The 20,782-nt window shown below is 46.6% G+C and overlaps 1 long non-coding RNA gene across 1 annotated transcript in view, besides 1 other annotated feature; it reads right to left on the reverse strand.

Moving 5' to 3' along the window:
• Positions 9,453–10,652: an enhancer, noted in NCBI's record as "P300/CBP strongly-dependent group 1 enhancer chr16:15993095-15994294 (GRCh37/hg19 assembly coordinates)". NCBI's record gives its function as "activates an origin of replication core promoter dependent on BRD2, BRD4, P300/CBP, MED14 and CDK7 cofactors, with strong dependence on P300/CBP, by STARR-seq in HCT116 cells {active_cell/tissue: HCT116}" and the evidence as "EXISTENCE:reporter gene assay evidence [ECO:0000049][PMID:35650434]".
• LOC107984869 (uncharacterized) overlaps positions 12,763–20,782 on the reverse strand; it is a 46,624-nt gene continuing 38,604 nt past the window's right edge. The window contains exons 2-3 of the long non-coding RNA XR_001752339.2: positions 14,796–14,876; positions 12,763–13,207 (exon numbers count right to left, since the gene is read on the reverse strand). This is a non-coding gene — a long non-coding RNA (uncharacterized LOC107984869). The remainder of the gene's footprint in view (positions 13,208–14,795; positions 14,877–20,782) is intronic.

The following is a 20,782-nucleotide window of genomic DNA, read 5'->3' on the forward strand; positions in this document are numbered from 1 at the left end:
CTAAGAGCTGCCAGGGCACGGTGGTTTACGCCTGGAATCCCAGCACTTTGGGAGACTGAGGTAAGGAGTTCGAGAACAGCCTGGCCAGCCTGGTGAAACCCCCTCTGTACTAAAAAAAAAGTACAAAAATTAGCCGGGCGTGGTAGCAGGAGCCTGTAATCCCAGCTACTTGGGAGGCTGAGGCACAAGAATCGCTTGAACCTGGGAGGCAGAGGTTGCAGTGAGATGAGATCGCGCTACTGCACTCCAACCTGGACGACAGAGCGAGACACCGCCTCAAAAAAAAAAAAAAAAAAAAACCACCTAAGAGCAAGGAAACCTCTTTCCGAGGAACTTCCAGCATACTTTTGGTTCCATGCCTATTGTTTTTAAAACTGATACATTGGCCAGGTGCGGTGGCTCATCCCTGTAATCCCAGCACTTTGGGAGGACGAGGAGGGAGGATTGCTTAAGCTCGGGAGTTTGAGATCAGCCTGGGCAATGCAAGACCCCATCTCTCCAAAATAAATACAAAAAATTAGCCGGGCATGGTGGTGCATGCCTGTAGTCCCAGTTACTCCAGAGGCCGAGGATAGAGGATTGCTTGAGCTCAGGAGTTCTAGACCAAGCTGGGCAACATGAGACGCATTTCTACAAAAAAAAAAAAAAATTAGCCAGATATGATGGTGCATGCCAGCTACTCGAGAGGCTGAGGAGAGAGGATCACTTGAGCCTGGACGGCTGATTGTACCACTGCACTCCACTCTGGGCGACAGAGTGAGTCCCTTTCTCAAAAAAAAAAAAAAAAAAAAAAAAAAAAGAAAAGAAAAAGAGAGAAAGAAAAATTGATATATCACAATTATGGGGAGGGACGTGATATTTTGATACACATATACAATGTGTAATTATCAAGTCAAGGCAATTGGGATAAACATCACCTCAAACATTCTTTGTGTTGGAAGCATTACAAGTATTCTAGCTATTTTGAAATATACAATCAATAATTGTTAACTATTTTTTTTAAAGGGAGGGGGAACAGCCTGGGCAGCATAGGGAGAACCTGTCTTTAAAAACGAGCAAACAAGGCCGGGTGCGGTGGTTCACGCTTGTAATCCCAGCACTTTGGGAGGCCTGAGGCAGGCAGATCACAAGGTCAGGAATTCGAGACCAGCCTGGCCAACACAGTGAAACCCCATCTCTACTAAAAATACAAAAATTAGCCGGGCGTGGTGGCAGAGGCCTGTAATCCCAGCTATTCGGGAGGCTGAGGCAGGAAAATTGCTTGAACCCAGGAGGCAGAGGTTGCAGTGAGCCAGGGGTGCAGAGGTTGCACTCCAGCCTGGGGAACAGAGTAAGACTCCGACTCAAAACAAAACAAAACAAAACAAAAGAGCAAACAGCCAGGCACGGTGGCTCACGCTTGTAATCCCAGCACTTTGGGAGGCCGAGGAGGGCAGATCACCTGAGGTCAGGAGTTTGAGACCAGCCTGGCCGACATGGTGAAACCCCATTTCTACCAAAAATACAAAAATTAGCTGGGCATGGTGGCAGGCATCTGTAATCCCAGCTACTCGGGAGGCTGAGGCAGGAGAATCGTTTGAACCTGGGAGGTGGAGGTTGCAGTGAGCCGAGATCACGCCGCTGTGCTCCAGCCTGGGCGACAAGAGTGAAACTCCGTGTCAAAAAAAACCAAAACGAACAAACAAACAAAAAAACCGAGCAAACAAAACAAAAAATTAGCCTGGCATGTGTCCCTGTAGTCCGAGCTACTCGGGAGGCTGAGGCAGGAGGATTGCTTGAGCCTAGGAGGTGGAGGCTACAGTGAGCCATGACCATAACACTGCATTTCTAGCCTGGTGACAAGGGGAGATGCCTTTTCTTTCCCTTCCTTCCTTCCTTCCTTCCTTCTTTCCTTCCTTCCTTTCCTCCCTCCTCTCTCTCTCCTTCCTTCCTTCCTCCCCGCCCTTTCCCTTTCCTTCCTTCCTTCCCTCCCTCCCTCCCTCTTTCTCTCTTTCTCTTTCTTTCTTTCTTTCTTTTCTTTCTTTCTTTCTCTCTCTCTTTCCTCTTTCTCTCTTACTTTTTCTTGAGACTTAAAAAAAAAGGGGGGCCAGGCAGAGTATCTTGACCTAGAGTCTAGGATAATGCTCTTTAAACTGCTGGTTAACCAAATAGTAGGTTTTGAAATCTATTTATTAGTAGATCCCCATGAGTACATTTTCAGTGAAATGGAATGTAACAAATAGAAAACATAGAAGTATGGTTTTCTAGAACTTTCCTTTCAGGTACACATGTGTGTTCTGGTACCTGTTGTATTTCTTAAAGTGATCAGCCATCAGAAAAGTTTGAAAGTGATTGTAACCTAGAGGAATCTCTTCCTATTCCAAACTGGATTAATTTTTGACTGGATTAATTTTTGATTATGGGACACATATCTGTTCTGTAACCTTGAAAAGGTCCTATCTTGTTTCTCTACTCTGTAAAACCACAGTGACTGAATACCTGGCCAGCATTTCAAGAGATTTTTGGGGATTAACTAAATTCCATAGGTGGTATTTTTAAGTCCCTCAGAAAAAGCACTCCTGTGGTGTTATGATATAGGTATTGATTTTCATCTCCACGATTCCTGGCATCTAACTCCCATTCACCTCATTATAATGTTGAGGCACTTTAGGCCTCAGGAAACAGAATCTCCCTCTCTGATCTTCTCCTGTCCACCTCTGACCTGCCCCAAGCAGGACTCTAATCTGACTGTGGGTCAAAAGACCCTCATTCCAGAAAGGGTTCTGCCTGCTACCCTCAAGGAAGAAATGCTGCACAGAGAGCCCAAGAAAAGTCTGAGCAGACAGGCTTTGCTGGGTTTAGATCAGGCACTTTCTGTCCAATCAGATTTCTTTCTTTTTTTTTTTTTTTTTTGAGACGGAGTCTTGCTCTGTCGCCCAGGCTGGAGTGCAGTGGTACAGTCTCCGTTCACTGCAACCTCTCCCTCCTGGGTTCAAGCGATTCTCCTGTCTCAACCACCCAAGTAGCTGGGATTACAGGTGTGCACCACCATGCCTGGCTAATTTTTTTTTTTTTCCAGACAGAGTTCCGCTCTTGTTGCCCAGGTTGGAGTGCAATGGCACGATCTCGGTTCACCTCAACCTCTGCTTCCCGGGCTCAAGCAATTCTCCTGCCTCAGCCTCCCAAGTAGCTGGGATTACAGGCATGTACAACCACACCTGGCTAATTTTGTATTTTTAGTAGAGATGGGGTTTCTCCATGTTAGTCAGGCTGGTGTCGAACTCCCGACCTCAGGTGATCCGCCCACCTCGGCCTCCCAAAGTGCTGGGATTACAGGCGTGAGCCACCACGTCTGGCCTGTCCAATCACATTTCTACACGGTGTTCAATCACACCTATGTAATAAAGTGTCCCATAAAAACCCAAGAGAACTGGGTTGGGAGAACTTCTGGATAGCAGAACACGTGGAGGTTGTTGAAGGGTGTTGCATTCAGGGAAAGCATGGAAGCTCCACACCCCTTCCCCTATACTTTGCCCTATGTGTCACTTCATCTGTATAAACAAAATTAAGTGTTTCCCTGAATTCTTTGAGCCACTCCAGCAAATTAATGGAACCCAAAATGGGGGTTGTGGAAGCTCCAACTTGAAGGCGGTCCATCAGAAGTTTCAGAGGCCCAAACTTGCGACTGGTGTCTGAAGGAAGGCAGTCTTGGGGACTGAGCTATCACCCTGTGGGAAATGACACTATTTTCAGGTCGAAGATGTCAGATTTAAACTGAAGGACACCCAGCTGGCGTCAGCTGCAGAACTGATTGTTTGCTGGCCAGGCGCAATGGCTGAAGTCTGTAATCCCAGCATTTTGGGAGGCAGAGGTGGGTGGATCACTTGAGGTCAAGAGTTCCACACTAGCCTGGTGACATGGTGAAACCTTGTCTCCACTAAAAATACAAAAAATAGCTGGGTGTGGTGGCATGCACCTGTAATCCCAGCTACTCAAGAGGCTGAGCCAGGAGAATCGCTTGAACCTGGGAAGCAGAGGTTGCAGTGAGCAGAGATCATGCTATGGGTGACAGAGTGAGGCTAAACCTAAAAAAAAAGATTGTATGCTTGCTGGTGGGGGGATTTCCCCACACATTTCTGGGGTCCACAGAAGTATTCTGTGTTGATTATTGGTGTGTTGATGTGTGAGCAGAGAAAAAACACGGTTTGAGAAAGTTTATATCCAAAAAACTCCTGAATATGTTGATGAGGAACTCGGAGAGAGAGGCAAATAATAATGTGATTGACCGATTGGCAGTGGTAATCATACAGTAGCTAACATTCATTATACTCTCTGTATGGCAAGGACTGCTCTAAAAGCTTTACATTAAGTATTCACCAACAACCCTATGAGATGGATACTTACATGCAATTGTCTCAAGTAAAATTGTATTTAAAAACATACTGGCCAGGTGTGGTGGCTCATGGCTGTCATCCCAGCACTTTGGGAGGCTGAGACAGGCGGATTGCTTGAGGCCAGGAGGAGTTCAAGACGAGCTTGGTCAACATAGTGAAACCCTGTCTCTACTAAAAATACAAAAAATTATTTGGGTGTGGTGGCACACACCTGTAATCCCAGCTACTTGGGAGGCTGTGGCATGAGAATCACTTGAACCCGGGAGGCAGAGGTTTCAGTGAGCTGAGAATGCGCCACTGCACTCCAACCTGGGCGACAGAGAAAGACTCTGTCTCACAAACAAACAAAAAACATGTACTAATGACCAGGCACAGCAGTTCATGCCTGTAATCCCAGCACTTTGAGAGGCTGAAGCGAGAGGATCAGTTGAAGCCAGGAGTTTGAGACCAGCCAAGCCAACAAATCAAGAACCCATGTCTTTAAAAAAAAAAAAAGTAGCTGGGCATGGTGGCACATGCCTGTATTCCTAGCTGCTCAGGAGGCTGAGGCAGGTGGATTGCTTGAGTCCAGGAGTTCAAGGCTGTAGTGAGCTATGACTGTACCAGTGGACTCCAGCCTGGGCAGCAGAGCAAGACCCCATCTCTGAAAAAATAAATACCTTTATACATACATTAAAAACATGCACTGACATTGAGTAACACTGAATTGCTGGGGATATGTCGAAACAGGCACTGCCATACATAGTTGGTAGGTAGGCAATCAACACCACCATCCAGAAGGCAGTTTGTCAATATCTCATCAGATTTTCACACCCTTTGACTCATCAAATCTACTTCTAAGAATGTATCTTACAGATATAATCACACCTACTTACAAAGGATATAAGTATAAGAATATTCATTCACTGTTGATAGTAGAAAAAACTATGCACACCTTTCAGAAAGGCTAAAATAAAGACTACTGACAATACTGTTGGCAAACACACATGTACTACTGGTGGGAAGACAAAGTGGTATAGTCACTTTGGAAAGCAGTTTGGCAATTGCTTATTAAGTCATAGGTACACTTGGCCCAGTAATCCCAAAACTAAGTGTTTGCCCAAGTGAAGTAAAAACTTGTAGGCCGGGCGCGGTGGCTCACGTCTGTAATCCCAGCACTTTGGGGGGCCAAGGCGCATGGATCATTTGAGGTCAGGAGTTTGAGATCAGCCTGAGCAACATGGTGAAACCCCGTCTCTACTAAAAATATAAAAATTAGCCAGGCATGATGGAGCATGCCTATAATCCCAGCTACCCAGGAAAATTAGCCAGGTGTGGTGGAGGGTGCCTGTAATCCCAGCTACCCAGGAGGCTGAGGCAGGAGAATCACTTGAACCCGGGCAGCAGAGGTTGCAGTGAGCCGAGATCGTTTCACTGCACTCCAGCCTGGGCAACAAGAGCTAAAGTCCACCTCACACACACAAAAAAAAGAACTTGTAGCCAGGCACAGTGGCTTATGCCTATAATCCCCACAGTTTATGAGGCCAAAGCGGGATGAACGCTTGAATCTAGAAGTTTGAGACCGGCCTGGGCAACATGGTGAAACCCCATCTCTACAAAAAAAAAAAAATTACAAAAATTAGACAGGCGTGTAGGAGTGAACATGTAGTCCCAGCTACTCCAGAGGCTAAGGTGAGAAGACCTGCAGAGCCTGGGAGGTCCAGGTTGCAGTGAGTCGTGATCACACCACTGCACTCCAGTCTGGGCAACATAGTGAAACTGTGTTTCAAAAAAATAAAAAATGTTCTCTGGTGAGGACTCGGTGATTGAGGGTCAGTGTTCGATGGAGACTTACTTTTTTTTTTCTTTTTGAGACAGTCTCTGTTGCCCAGGCTGGAATGCAATAGCACCATCATAGCTCACTACAGCCTCGACCTCCAGGCTCAACTGATCCTTCAGCCTCCCGAGTAGCTGGGACCACAGGCACGTGCCGCCACGCCCAGCTATTTTTATTTTTTGTAGAGATGGGGTCTCACCATGTTGCTCAAGCTGATCTCAAATTCTTGGGCTCAAGCAATCCTCCTGCCTCGAACTCCCAAAGGCCTGGGGTTGCAGGCATAAAACACCACACCCAGCCTTACTTTTGTCCATAGACTTATTTTAATTTATTAATTAATTTATTTATTTGAGACTGAGTCTTGCTCTATTGCCCAGGCTGGAGTGCAGTGGCACGATCTGGGCTCACTGCAACCTCCGCCTCCCAGGTTCAAGCAATTCTAGTGCCTCAGCCTCCCGAGCAGCTGGGATTACAGGTGCACACCATCATGCCTGGCTAATTTTTGTATTTTTAGTAGAGACAGGGTTTCACCATGTTGGCCAGGCTGGTTTCGAACTCCTGACCTCAAGTGATCCTCCTGTCTCGGCCTCCCAAAGTGCTGGGATTACAGGTGTGAGCCACCGTGCCCAGCCTAATTTTAACTTTTAACTATGTACATGCATTACTGTGCACAACCAGCTGTGGGCAAGTACAGCCCAATAGCCCCTCCTCTTCACTGTCTTGAGTATCTCTTGCTCGTTGTTGAGGGCCCGTCTAGCGCCATGCCCCATAGGCTGCCTATAGGAGTCCTTTTGACCCTTCAGGCACCCACACAATTGTGGAAATGTGGCTGGACCAACAAATAGTGGGAGTGAGTGGTAATCCATGTGTGACATGCGAGAGGTGCACATTTTTTTCTCTCTCTCTTTTTTTTTTCCATAGAAATATAAAATGTTTGTAGAAATGTAAAATCTTTTGTTTTTCTTTTTTTTTATTTTTCCAGACAGGGGTTAACTCTGTCACCCAAGTTGGGCTGCAGTGGTGCAGTCACAGCTCACTGCAGCCTCAACATCCCAGTCTAAGGGATCCTCCCACCTCAGCCTCCTGAGTAGCTGGGACTACAGGTGTGTGTCATCACACCTGGCTACTTCTTTTATTTTCTGTAGAAGCAGAGTCTCGCTATGTTGCCCAGGCTAGTCTTAAACTCCTGGTCTCAAACAAATTCTCCCACCTCAGCCTCCCAAAGTGCTGGGATTACAGGCATGAGGCACTATGCCCAGCCTGTAATCTTATTAGCACACAGCCATGCCCCCCACTTTTTTTTTTTTTATTTTTGAGAGAGGTTCTCACTCTCACCCAGGCTGGAGTGCAGTGGCATGATAAGGGGTCACTGCAGCTTCAACCTCCCCTGGCTCAGGCAATCCTCCCATCTCATCCTCCCAAGTAGCTGGGACTACTTGTGCATGCCACCATGCCCAGCTAATTTTTTGTATTTTTTGTAGAGATAGGGTTTCGCCATGTTGCTCAGACTGGTCTTGAACTCCTAGATTCAAGCATTCTGCCCACCTCAGCCTCCCAAAGTGCTGGGATTAATTACAGGCGTGAGCCACCGCATCTGGCCGCCTGCCTGTTTCTTAATGCATTGTCTATGGGCGCTTTTACACGGCAACAGAGGAATTGAGAAGCTGCAACAGAACTCACTTAAAATATTTTACCCGGCACTTGAAGAAAACATTTGTCCACTCTTGAATTCTTTTTCATACTTTTTCTAGGCCACAGGTATATTATTAACAGATTAACCATTATTTTTTTTTTCAGCTATAGCCAATAATAATAAAAAAGAGCAACTCACATTGATGGTGCCCTTATTGTGTGTGTGTCGTTTCATGGCATCCTGAAGACAGCTGAGAGACAGATGTGATCATGCCTGTTTTACAGATGGAAACTGAGGTTTGGAGGGTTGAAGTTGCTTCTGAGTAAATGGCTGAGTCAGTGCAACTTGACCCCAGTTCTGCTCCACTCACCCAACGTTGCTCAGCCGTTTTCGGTTGTTTCAGTTTCACTGCAGACACTTCTCTGTTCTCCCCCTGCCCTCCTTCTCTCCCCCAAACTCTCTCTCTTCCTTCTCCTCCTTTCTCTTCTTCTGCTCCCCAATCCCCCTCCTCCTCTTTCATCTTCTTCCTCCTCCTCCTTCCTCCTCCCAGCCCTCCTCCTCCTCCTCAACCTCCTCCCCTTCTATCTCCTCCCCCTCCTCCTCTTTCTTCTCCCTCGCCCTCCTCTCTTCTTTTCTCTCCCCCAACCCCCTCTCTACTGGGCCTTTGCATGTGCCCATCCCCCAGCCTGGAAACTTCCTCCTGTTCTGGTTAATTTCTGCTCATTCTCCAGGTCTCAGTCTACCTTTTTGTTGTCGTTGTTGTTGTTGTTGAGACGGAGTCTCGTTCTGTTGCCCAGGCTGGAGTGCAGTGGTGCGATCTCGGCTCACCGCAAGCCCCGCCTCCCAGGTTCACGCCATTCTCCTGCCTCAGCCTCCCGAGTAGCTGGGACTACAGGTGTGCGCCACTGCACCTGGCTAATTTTTCGTATTTTTAGTAGAGATGCGGTTTCACCATGTTGGCCAGGCTGGTCTCAAACTCCTGGGCTCAAGCGATCCACTTGCCTCAGCCTCCCAAAGTGCTGGGATTACAGGCATGAGCCACCGTGCCTGGTCTCCAGGTCTGTTTAAATGTCATTTCTTCCTAAAGCTTTCCTGGCTAATTCGATTCTTCTTCTCAAATGTATCTTGGGGGGTGAAAGGTCTGAGAAGAGGGAGGGGCATAGAGATAAAGGAAGCTTCCAACAGAGGTGCATCACCAATGCCCTTCTCCCAGGTCCGAGGTCATACCCCTGGCTCGAGGGGAGGCGGCTTCCGATGCCTGGTCCATGCTGGGGTATCAAGTTCCAGCCCTCTCACCCCAGTTTGGGACAATTCTGTAGGACCGCCTCACTGGCAGAGCTTGCTGAGGGAGTAAGCTGAGGCCTTTGTAGGCCACAAGGTTGAGACCAGCCTGAGCATCATAGTAGGGCCTTGTTTCTATGAAAACATTTTTTTAAAAAATGAAACTTCCCACATGACAATTTTTTTTTTTGAGACGGAGTCTCACTCTGTCACCCAGGCTGGAGTGCAATGGTGCGATCTCAGCTCACTGCCACTTCCGCCTCCCAGGTTCAAGTGATTCTCATCTCAGCCTCTCAAGTAGCTGAGATTACAGGTGCCCACCACCACACCTGGCTAATTTTTATATATTTTAGTAGAGATGGGGTCTCGCCATGTTGGCCAGGCTGGTCTTGAACTCCTGACTTCAAGTGATCCGCTCATCTCTGCCTCCCAAAGTGCTGGGATTACAGCCATGAGCCACAGCGCCCGGCTTCCCCATGACAATTTTAAACATGAGAACTATGTATATGCCACAGTCTGGAACTTGGGATCTCAAATAATCTTGGATTCCTTGTTCTCAGTCCCCATACAGAAGGGAGGAGGGCTGGCCTTTGGACTCCCCCAAATCTGGGTTCGAATCCCAGCTCCACCACTGCAAGTCTGGTTGCTCTGGACCAGTTACTTAACGTTCTCTAAATGTCAGTTACATCCGTGAGATAAGCTACCTCGCGGGACTTCATTCAGTCCTTCTTCAAATATCTGTAGAATATTTGTAGGCTGAGGCCTTTGCTGGGACCGTGGAGAAGCCCAACTTCCTCCTCCCTTTCCCCCACTTCCTAGGCTTTGATCCAGCCCTGGAGCCTTGATCGAATTGATCTCTCTTTCAAGTCTTCCAGGGAGGCTGTGACTCAATCCTAGAAACCAGGGGCAGGTCCAGGCTGCCTGTGGTCTACTTGCTCCACTTCCTCAGGTGCTCAAGGGTGACTCATCACTCAGTAAGTTCAGAGCAGAGGGCGTTCTCCTCAATGTGTGCCAGGAGCACAGCAGGAATGTAGGCACCCTCAGAGCTCCCCAGAATTCCCTAACCCTGGACCACACTGTGGCATTGCAGCCTATGTGGGGCTGAGGCTCTGTTTCACATTGGGTGCCCAATGGACTGCTTTACAGGACAGATGCCTTGTTATCCTGCTCTGCTCCGGTAGAACAAATATTTGTAGAAGGACCGAATGAAGTCCTGCAAGGTAGCTCATCTCACAGACGAAACTGATGTTTAGAGAACATTAAATAACTGGCCCAGAGCAACCAGACTTAAAGTGGTGGAGCTGGGATTCAAACCCAGATTTGGGGGAGTCCAAAGGCCAGCCCTCCTCCCTTCTGTATGGGGACTGAGAACACGGAATCCATGACCATTTGAGATCCCAAGTTCCAGACTGTGGCATGTACATAGTTCTCATGATTAAAATTGTCACGTGAGAAGTTTCATTAAAATTTTTTTTTTTTTTTTTTTTTTTTGTAGAGACAAGGTCTCACTATGTTGTCCAGGCTGGTCTCAAGCTCCTGACCTCAAGCGATCCTCCTGCCTCAGCCTACCAAATTGTTGGGATTGTAGGTGTGAACCACTGCACTCTGCCCAGAGGTTTCAAAGTGAACTTTTTTTCTTTAATCAAGATGGGGTCTCACTATGTTGCCCAGACTGGTCTCAAACTCCTGAGCTCAAGCGATCCTCCCGCCTTGGCATCCCAAATTGCTGGGCTTACAGGCATGAGCCACTGCACCTGGCCTCAAAGTGGAATGTTTTTAGTGGGGGGAAGGTGCTGGATATTACTGTCAGTCCTTTAGAGGAAGTAAAATAAATCCTACAGGTACATTGACATTCTCAGGTCACTTTCAGAGGGATGAGCAATAAATTCATTCAATGCCTTCTTTACTAAAAGCATTAGAGATAAAGAAATTCTGGAAGTAAATCTTGCTGAAATGCATTTTGTCAGGGGAACTCAGTTGAACAAAAACTAAAGGTTGAGTTCAGAAAAGGTAAATGTCTTTTACCAAGATTTAGTTCTTTTCTTCCAGGTAGATATGCCTTTTCTTAGGATCTGGAGTGAGAGGCTGTTGGAAAATAAGGGTTGGGGAAAGCCACAGATGGAATTTTACAAATTGGAGACAGCTACTTAATAGAAACGGCATCTCATCAGACAAGTCAAGGCAACTGTTGAAAATATGACATGTCTCTCTATCAGCCATTCATGGCCCAGGACACTATGGCAACCAAATCCAAACTGCTGGTTCAAAGAGATTAGTCTGAATCCCAAAAGAATCCTAATTCTCTCCTGATTTATTAAGGAAGAAAACAACAACCGCCTTTATTTGCAATATTATTGCATTGCATGCAATCCTAGGAAAAGGTGTGGCTGTTATTTTTGAAGAAGTACTCACCCTATACTAGATACAGTATGAAACATTATTCATGCGTCATTGCATTTATTTCTCACGTGATCTCAAGAGGTAGATGCTACTGTCATCCTGATTTTAAGATGAAGAAAGCAAGCCTTAGGGAGTTAAAGGGAACTGCCCAAGGTCAAACAGCTGGAAAGAGACTTGGCCAGACGCAAAAACAGTCTGATGCCCGGTTCAAGGTCCTTTAGTTTCATCTGTCCAGTAAGTAGACAGAGTATTTGATACTTGGGCTGGACTAGACAAATCTATGATGTGTAATTGTTCTGTGAACTCACAGATCCTAGCGTGAAGAGTTTTTTGTTTTGTTTTGTTTTGGTTTTTTTAGATGCAGTTTCGCTCTTCTTGCCTACGCTGGAGTGCAATGGCGTGATCTTGGCTCACTGCAACCTCCACCTTCCGGGTACAAGTGATTCTCCTGCCTCAGCCTCCTGAGTAGCTGGGACTACAGGCACCCACCACCACGCCCGGCTAATTTTTTGTATTTTTAGTAGAGATGGGGTTTCACTATGTTGGCCAGGCTGGTCTCAAACTCCTGACCTCAAGTGATCCACCCGCCTCAGCCTCTCAAATTGCTGGGATTACAGGCGTGAGCCACTGTGCCCGGCCTTTTTTTTTTTTTTTTTTTAGATAGGGTCTTGCTCTGTCGCCCAGGCTAGAGTGCAGTGGTACAATCATAGCTCACTGTAGCCTTGAATTCCTGGGCTCAAGCGATTCTCCCACCTCAACCTCCCTGAGTGGCTGGGACTACAGGTGCGTACCATTACAACACCTGGCTAATTTTTTTTTATTTTTTAATATTTTGTAGAGACAAATTCTTGTTATGTTACCCAAGGTGGTATTGAACTCCTGGCCTCAAGTGATCCTCCCACCTTGTCCTCCCAAAGTTCTGAGATTACAGGTGTGAGCCACTGTGCTTAACCAAGTGAAGACTTTTTTGGCTAGCTCAACCCTGTAATTCCAGCACTTTGGGAGGCCGAGGTGGGTGGATCACCTGAGGTCAGGAGTTCAACACCAGCACGGCCAACATGGCAAAACCCTGTCTCTACTAAAAATACAAAAATTAGCTGGGCATGGTGGTGGGCGCCTGTAGTCCGAGCTACTCAGGAGGCTGAGGCAGGAGAATTGCTGGAACCTGGGAGGCGGAGGCTGCAGTGAGCCGAGATCACACCACTGCACTCCAGTCTGGACGACAGAGCAAGACTCTGTCTCAAAAAAAACCCCAAAAACAAAAAACAAAAATCAAAACAAACAAAAAGCCCAAAGGAGGACTTTTTCATGCTGATAAAGAATGTAGGATAAACCTGATACCCTCTCCAAAATCTCTTCCAATTTTCCTAACCTCTGTACCAATGAGGACTTCCTTTCCTTTCTGACTTTCGATCAATGTAACAAAAATAAAATTGAAGCAGAGAAGGGTTAAGTATGTTGCTCAAGGTCTTGCAGGTGATTTGGGTTAGAGCCAATCTTGAACTCAGCCAGGTGAGGTGGCACCTGGTTCCATGACTGGACCCTCCCTGCTGCCCTGGTTTGCGAGAAGATTCTTACACACATGTCCCTGATCTCCTTGAAGCTTTGATTTTCCACCTAGAGCCCCACTGCAGCATCCTGGTTATCTGCGCAAGCTCTGTTGTTACACTGAACTGGATGGTGAATCCTGGGTACCTGTGTGGCCTTGGGCAAAAAAAAAAAAAAAAAAAAAAGCACCTCTCTGAGCTTCCATTTCTTTCATTCTTTCTTTCCCTTTCCCCTCTCCTCCCCTCCCCTCCCCTCCCCTTCTCTCTCTCTCTCTCTCTCTCTCTCTCTCTCTTTCTTTGTTGGAGTCTCCGTCTGTTGTGCAGGCTGGAGTGCAGTGGCGCAATCTTGGCTTGCTACAACCTCTGCCTCCTGGCTTCAAGCAATTCTCCTGCCTTGGCCCCCCTGACGAGCTGGGATTACAGGCATGCACCACCATGCCAGCTAATGTTTGTATTTTTGTAGAGATGGGGTTTTGCCATGTTGGCCAGGCTGGTCTCAAACTTCTGACCTCAAGTATTACGCCCATTTTGGCCTCCCAAAGTGCTGGGATTACAGGTGTGAGCCACCACACACGTTCTTGGGCCTCCATTTCTACAGCTATTAAAAGGAGGCCATAATAGTACCTAACTCCTGGGATATTATCGTGGCTAAAATGAGCTAATGGGCCAGGTGCGGTGGCTCACATCTGTAATCCCAGTACTTTCGGAGGCCGAGGCGGGTGGATTACCTGAGGTCAGGAGTTCGAGATCAGCCTGGCCAACATGGCGAAAGCCCGTCTCTACTAAAAATACAAAAATTAGCCAGGTGTGGTGGCTTGCACCTGTAGTCCCAGCTACTCGGGAGTCTGGGGCAAGAGAATCGCTTGAACCCAGGAGGTGGAGGTTGCAGTGAGCTGAGATTGTGCCACTGCACTCCAGCCTGAGTGACAGAGCTAGACTCCATCTCAAAAACTAATAATAATAATAATAATAATAATAATAATAATAATAATAATATCATAATAAGATGGGCCTGGCGCGGTGGCTCACGCCTGTAATCCCAGCACTTTACTCTACTAAATCTCTACTAAAAATACAAAAATTAGCCAGGTGTGGTGGCGGGTGCCTGTAATCCCAGCTACTTGGGAGGCTGAGGCAGGAGAATCACTTGAACCTGGGAGGCGGAGGTTGAAGTGAGCCAAGATGGCGCCATTGCACTCCAGCCTGGGAAACAGGAGTGAAACTCTGTCTCAAAAAAATTAAATAAATAAATAAGTAAATAAATAAATAAAATGAACTAATGCATGAAGAGCACTTAGTTAAATTAAATAAATAAATAAAATTTTTAAAAAATAAAATTAATTAAATAATAAATAAATAAATAAAATGAACTAATGCATGCAACAACTTAGCACAGTGCCTAGGACATAATAGGCACTCGATAAGTGGGCTGGGCGTAGTGGCTCATGCCTGTAATCTGAGCACTCTGGGAGGCTGAGGCGGGCAGATCACCTGAGCTCAGGAGTTCAAGACCACCCTGGGCAACATGGCGAAACCCCATCTGTACAAAAATTACAAAAATTAGCTGACCATGGTGATACCCACCTGCAGTTCCAGCTACTTGGGAGGCTGAGGTGGGAGGATCACTTGAGCCCGGGAGACTAAGGTTGCTGTGAGCCCAGATCATGCCACTACACTCCAGCCTGGTGGACAAAGCTAGACCCTGTCACACACACACACACACACAAAAGTGGCTATTTCCTCACCATTCCCCCCTTGGCAGGTCACAGCCCAGTCCACTCCACTCCTCCATGGTCTCCATTCTTGTCGCCTCGACACCAGATGGCCTGGATTAGGTGTGTAAGAACATATTTATGCTCCAGTTTTCTCTTGTCAAATTCCTCATCCTTCCTCTCCCCTTCCCAGATGTTCTCCATTCTCCGCAAATCCTCTACCTCACCTCCATCTTCCACCTGCTCTTTGGTCACTCTGTCTCCTACTCAACTAGGAAGACCCTAGGAACCCTCCACTTGGACCCTAAATCTCTTTGCATTTTAACCTTTCATTCATGAATTCATTCATTCGAAAGATATTATTGAGCATCTACTATGTACCAGGCACTAAGGATACTAGAGTAAATATAATAAACAGGATCCTGGCTGGGTGAGGTGGCTCATGCCTGTAATCTCAGCACTTTCGGAGGTAAAGGTGGGTGGATCGCTTGAGGTCAGGAGTTCGAGACCAGCCTGGCCAACATGACAAAACCCGTCTCTAGTAACAATACAAAAATTATCTGGGCATGGTGGTGGCACATGCCTGTAATCCTAGCAACTTGGGAGGCTGAGGCAGGAGAATCGCTTGAACCCAGGAAGTGGAGGTTGCAGTGAGCTGAGATCACACCACTGCACTCTAGCCTGTGCAACAGAGCAAGACTTTGTCTCAAAAAAGTAAACACGGTCTCTACTCACATAGAGCTCACTGGCCAAGAGAAAGGGCAGCAATTCATCAAATATTTAATTACAAACTCAGATAAATACTATAATGAAAAATGCAGAGATTCTGAGACAGTCAGGGGCCATAACCTAGCCTAGGTTGGTGGTTATGGAAGGCTTCCATATCAGCATGTGTTTCTTTCTTTCTTTTTCTTTTTTCTTTTCTTTTCTTTTTTTCTTTTTCTTTTTTTTTTTTGAGATGGCGTCTTGCTCTGTTGCCCAGGTTGGAGTGCAGTGGCACCGTCTCATCTCACTGCAACTTCCACCTCCCAGGTTCAAGCAATTCTCATGCCTCAGCCTCCCAAGTAGCTGGGGTTACAGGCTTGTGCCAACACACCTGGCTAATTTTTGTATTTTTAGTGGAGTGCAGTGGAACCATCTCGGCTCACTGCAACTTCTGCCTCCCAGGTTCAAGCGATTCTCATGCCTCGGCCTCCCAAGCAGCTGGGATTACAGGCGTGTGCCACCACACCTGGCTAATTTTTGTGTTTTTAGTAGAGATGAGGTTTCACAAAGTTAGCCAGGTTGGACAGCACGAGTTTCTATGCAACACACTGTCCTAAAACTTAGTGGCTTAAAACAACAACAATCATTGATTTCACCCCCAAATCTGCAATTTGGGCAGGATGTGGCCTGGACAGCAAGTCTGTGTTCCACATGCCATGCTCAACATGGGGCAGCTTGACAGGGGCTGGAGGACCCACTTTTTTTTGGTTGTCTCTGAGATATAATTTACATGCCATAAATTTCACCATGTGAAACCATACAATTCAATGCTTTTTAGTATATTCACAGGATTGTACAACTATTGCTATCTAATTCCACGATATTTCCTTTTCCCTAAAAAGAAATCCTATACTTATCTGGATGTGGTGGCGCACACCTGTGGTCCCAGCTACTCGGGAGGCTGAGACAGGGGGATCAATTGAGCCCAAGAGTTCCAGGCTGCAGTGAGCTATGATCGCACCATTGCACTCCAGCCTGGGTGACAGAATGAGACCCTGTTTCTAAACAACAATGACAAGAACAACAACAACAGAATATATACCATTAGCAGTCTCTTCTATTCCCTCTTCCCCTAGTCCCTGGAAACACTCATCTATCTTCTGTCTTTATAGATCTGTCTGTTCTAGACACTTCAAATGGAATATACACTACGTGGCCTATTGTGTCTGGCTTCTGTCACTGAGTACAATGTTATCAAGATTCTGGAAGACCCACTTTGTGGATGGCTCAGTCACATGGCTGGCAATTTGGTATTTGCTGTCAGGTGGGAACTCAGCCAGGGCTGTGGGCAGGGATCCCATTTCTTCTCTATGGGGGCCCCCTCCACGGGCTGCTTGAGCTTCCTTATGGCATGGTGGTTGGGTTCCAAGATGGAGCATCCTAACAGAGCCAAGTGGGAGCTTTTCATATCTTTTTTTTTTTTTTCAATTGAGACAAAGTCTCACTGTCACCCAGGCTGGTGTGCAGTGGCATGATCTTGGCTCACTGCCACCTCCACTTCCTGGGTTCAAGTGATTCTTGTGCCTCAGCCTCCTAAGTAGCTGGGACTACAAGTGAGCGCCACCACGCCCAGCTAATTATTGTATTTTTAGTAGAGGCTAGGTTTGCCATGTTGGCCAGGCTGGCATATTTATTAAAAAAAAAAAAGAGAGAGAGAGAGAGACAGGGTCTTGCTTGTTGCCCTTGGCAGGTCACAGCCCAGTCCACTCCACTCCTCCATGGTCTTGAACTCCTAGTCTCAAATGATCCTCCTGCCTCATCCTTCCAAAGTGCTGAGATTACAGATGTGAGCCACGATGTCCGGCCAGCTTTTCACCTTTTATGACCAGTTTCAGAAGTCACACCATGTCACTTCCACAGTAGCCTCAAGCTCGTCTGGATTCAAGGGAAGGGAACACAGACCACCCTTCACAACAGGAGTGTCAAAGTCACCTTGTTTGCGTTTTAACTTTTCATTAATGCATTCATTCATTCAAAAGATATTATTGGCCAGGTGCAGTGGCTCAAACCTATAATCACAGCACCTTGGGAGGCTGAGGCGGATGGATCACCTGAGGTCTGGAGTTAGAGACCAGCCTGGCCAACATGGTGAAACCCCGTCTCTACTAAAAATACAAAAATTAGCTGGGTGTAGTGGCATGCGCCTGTAATCCCAGCTACTTGGGAGGCTGAGGCAGGAAAATCGCTTGAACCCGGGAAGTGGAGGTTGCAGTGAGCCGAGATTGCGTCATTGCATTCCAGCCTGGGTGACAAGAGTGAAAATCCATCTCAAAAAAAAAAAAAAAAAAAAAAAAGTCACACCATGTCAGTTCCACAGTAGCCTCAAGCTCATCTGGATTCAACGGAAGGGAACACAGGCCACCCTTCTCAATAAGAGTGTAAGATCACTTTGTTTACATTTTAACCTTTTATTCATGCATGCGTTCATTCAAAAGATATTATTGAGCATCTACTCATGAATGAATAATTGTGGCCACTTTTGGAAAATACAAGTGCTACAGCTTCCCTGAGAAGATGATGTTGGGGCTGACAGCTGAAGGATAAGCAGGTGTTACTTAGGCACAGGTATGGAAGAGCATTCAAAAAACACAGAACAACGTGTTCAAAAGACCCGGGGGAACAATTAGCACACTGGAGGAACTTAAGGCGGCCTTGAGTGGCAGAGGCAGAGAGAAAGGCACTTGTCTGTTGTGTGCTTTCCATGACTGCTGTTTCCACTCAGCCTTCATTGTCCATTTTTTCAGAAACAGTACCCTAAATTCCCTTTGGGGAACCATTGACTCACCCGCCCTCAGCCCTCTCAGTGGGGCTGGCTGCAGGGGTGGGTGTTAAGACCCAGGTCTAGCCATTCAAGACAGTTCACCCAGCCTCGCCAGTCTCACTGATTGGTTCGGGTGTGGTCATGTGACACTCAGAAGGGCCAATGAGGCTCAAACCCAAGACATCTGCTGCAGCTATTGGACAAGACAGAGTGTATTGCCTTGGGGTTGCTAGGTAGGATAGAGGCAGGAGTGGTTGGGTGTCACCTTTGCCTCTGCCAGAGAATAACCTGTTGAAATGACACCAACAAAGAGAAAGTAGAACGAAGTGACACAGACCATTGAGCTCCTGGACTATGACCAAAGCCAGCTCTGCCACTGGACATTTTAGATTCATGGGCCAATACATGATGGTTTAGGCTAATTTGAATTTCTGTCACCTGGAATCAAGAGTACTGTTTAAAGGCACCATCGGTGGGCGCAGTGGCTCATGCCTGTAATCCCAGCACTTTGGGAGGCCGAGGCGGGTGGATCACCCGAGGTCAGGAGTTTGAGACCACCTTGGCCAAAATGGCGAAACTCCATCTCTACTAAAAATACAGAAAATAGCCGGGCATGGTGGCACGTGCCTGTAATCCCAGCAACTAGAGGGTCTGAGGCAGGAGGATGGCTTGAACCTGGGAGGCAGAGGTTGCAGTGAGCCATGATTGTGCCACTGCACTCCAGCCTGGGCAACAGAGTGAGACTCCATCTCAAAAAACAAACAAACAAACAAATAAATAAATAAAGACACTATGGTTAGGATTTTTCTCTTCCTGTCCCTAACTACACATTCTCCATTCCTGGTTCTTACGTACCACTTCAGAAGCCTCCAGCACTTCATCTGGCCTCTCTTCCTTCTCTCTCTCTTTCATTTCTTATTTTTTTTGAGACAGAGTCTCGATCTGTCACCCAGGCTGGAGCGCAGTGGCGCAATCTTGGCTCACTGCAACCTCCACCTCCAAGGCTCAAGTGATCCTCCAGCCTCAGCCTCCTGAGTAGCTGGGATTACAGGCACACACCACCACTCCAAGCTAACTTTTTGTATTTTTAGTAGAGACTGGTTTTTGCCATGTTGCCCAGGCTGGTCCCAAACTTCTGGCCCCAAACTTCTGGCAGATCAAGTGATCCACCTACCTCGGCCTCCCAAAGTGCTGGGATTACAGGTGTGAGCCACTGCATCTAGCCTTCTCTCTTTTTTTTGTGATCAATAAATGTTTGTTTATTGCATCTTGGTCTGAATGTCATATTAAATTTGGGGTTCCAAAAAACTCTAGAAAACATTTATGAGAACTTGGGAGGTGGAGGTTGCAGTGAGCCGAGATCGCGCCACTGCACTCCAGCCTGGGTGACAGATTGACACTTCGTCTCGCCAAAAAAAACAAACAAACAAAAAAAAAAAACAAAAAAAGAAAAAAAGAACTAAATGTCCCTGAATATAAAATGGTAGGTAAGAACAGTAATTGGCTTGTCGATCAATGATGAATCAAACAGAAAATGCGTGACAGATTATGGGGAAGTTTAAAATGTCCAAATATTATGTCCCAGAAGAATTTGTCTAGATAATAGATCTTCCTCAGTCCCTTTCAGGGGATGGATGGATAGTGGACATACTTGGGCAGGTTTATTCAGGGTAAGCTGGAGGAATGTGTCAAATAGGTAGCTACCTATCTGATTTACTTTCATCCTATTTTTTCTGCTCTTAAAACAAAATAACCTCCTATTGGTTAAACTTTTTTTTTTTTTTGGTTGCAAATCAAACTCTCTTACTGGTTTTAAAATATCAATTTCTTTTCTTTTTCTGTTTCTTTTTTTTTTTGAGGCGGAGTCTCACTCTGTGACCCAGGCTGGAGTGCAATGGCATGGTCTTGGCTCACTGCCACCTCCGCCTCCCGGGTTCAAGCGATTCTCCTGCTTCAGGCTCCTGAGTAGCTGGGACTAGAGGCATGTGCCACCACACCTAGCTAATTTTTGTATTTTTAGTAGAGACAGGGTTTCATCATGTTGGCCAGGCTGGTCTCGAACTTCTGATCTTGTGATCTGCCCGCCTTGGCCTCCCAAAGTGCTGGGATTACAGGCGTGAGCCACCGTGCCTATCCTATTTTTTTTCTTTTTCTTTTTCTTTTTTTAAGATGAAGTCACTCTCTGTTGCACAGGCTGGAGTGCAGTAGCACGATCTTGGCTCACTGCATCTTTTGCCTCCTGGGTTCAAGCGATTCTCAGCCTCCTGAGTAGCTAGGACTATAGGCGCGCGCCACCACGCCTGGCTAATTTTTGTATTTTTTTACAGAGGGGGTTTCACTATGTTGGCCAGGCTGGTCTCGAACTCCTGACCTGAAGTGATCCACCCACCTTGGCCTCCCAAAGCGCTGGGACTACAGGCATGAGTCACCACGCCTGGCCAAAAAAAAGATTAATCTTAAACATAACCAGAAGTCTAGATGTTTGACAGGTTTA

Source organism: Homo sapiens, chromosome 16, assembly GCF_000001405.40.
Source record: "Homo sapiens chromosome 16, GRCh38.p14 Primary Assembly".
Lineage (NCBI taxonomy): Eukaryota > Metazoa > Chordata > Mammalia > Primates > Hominidae > Homo > Homo sapiens.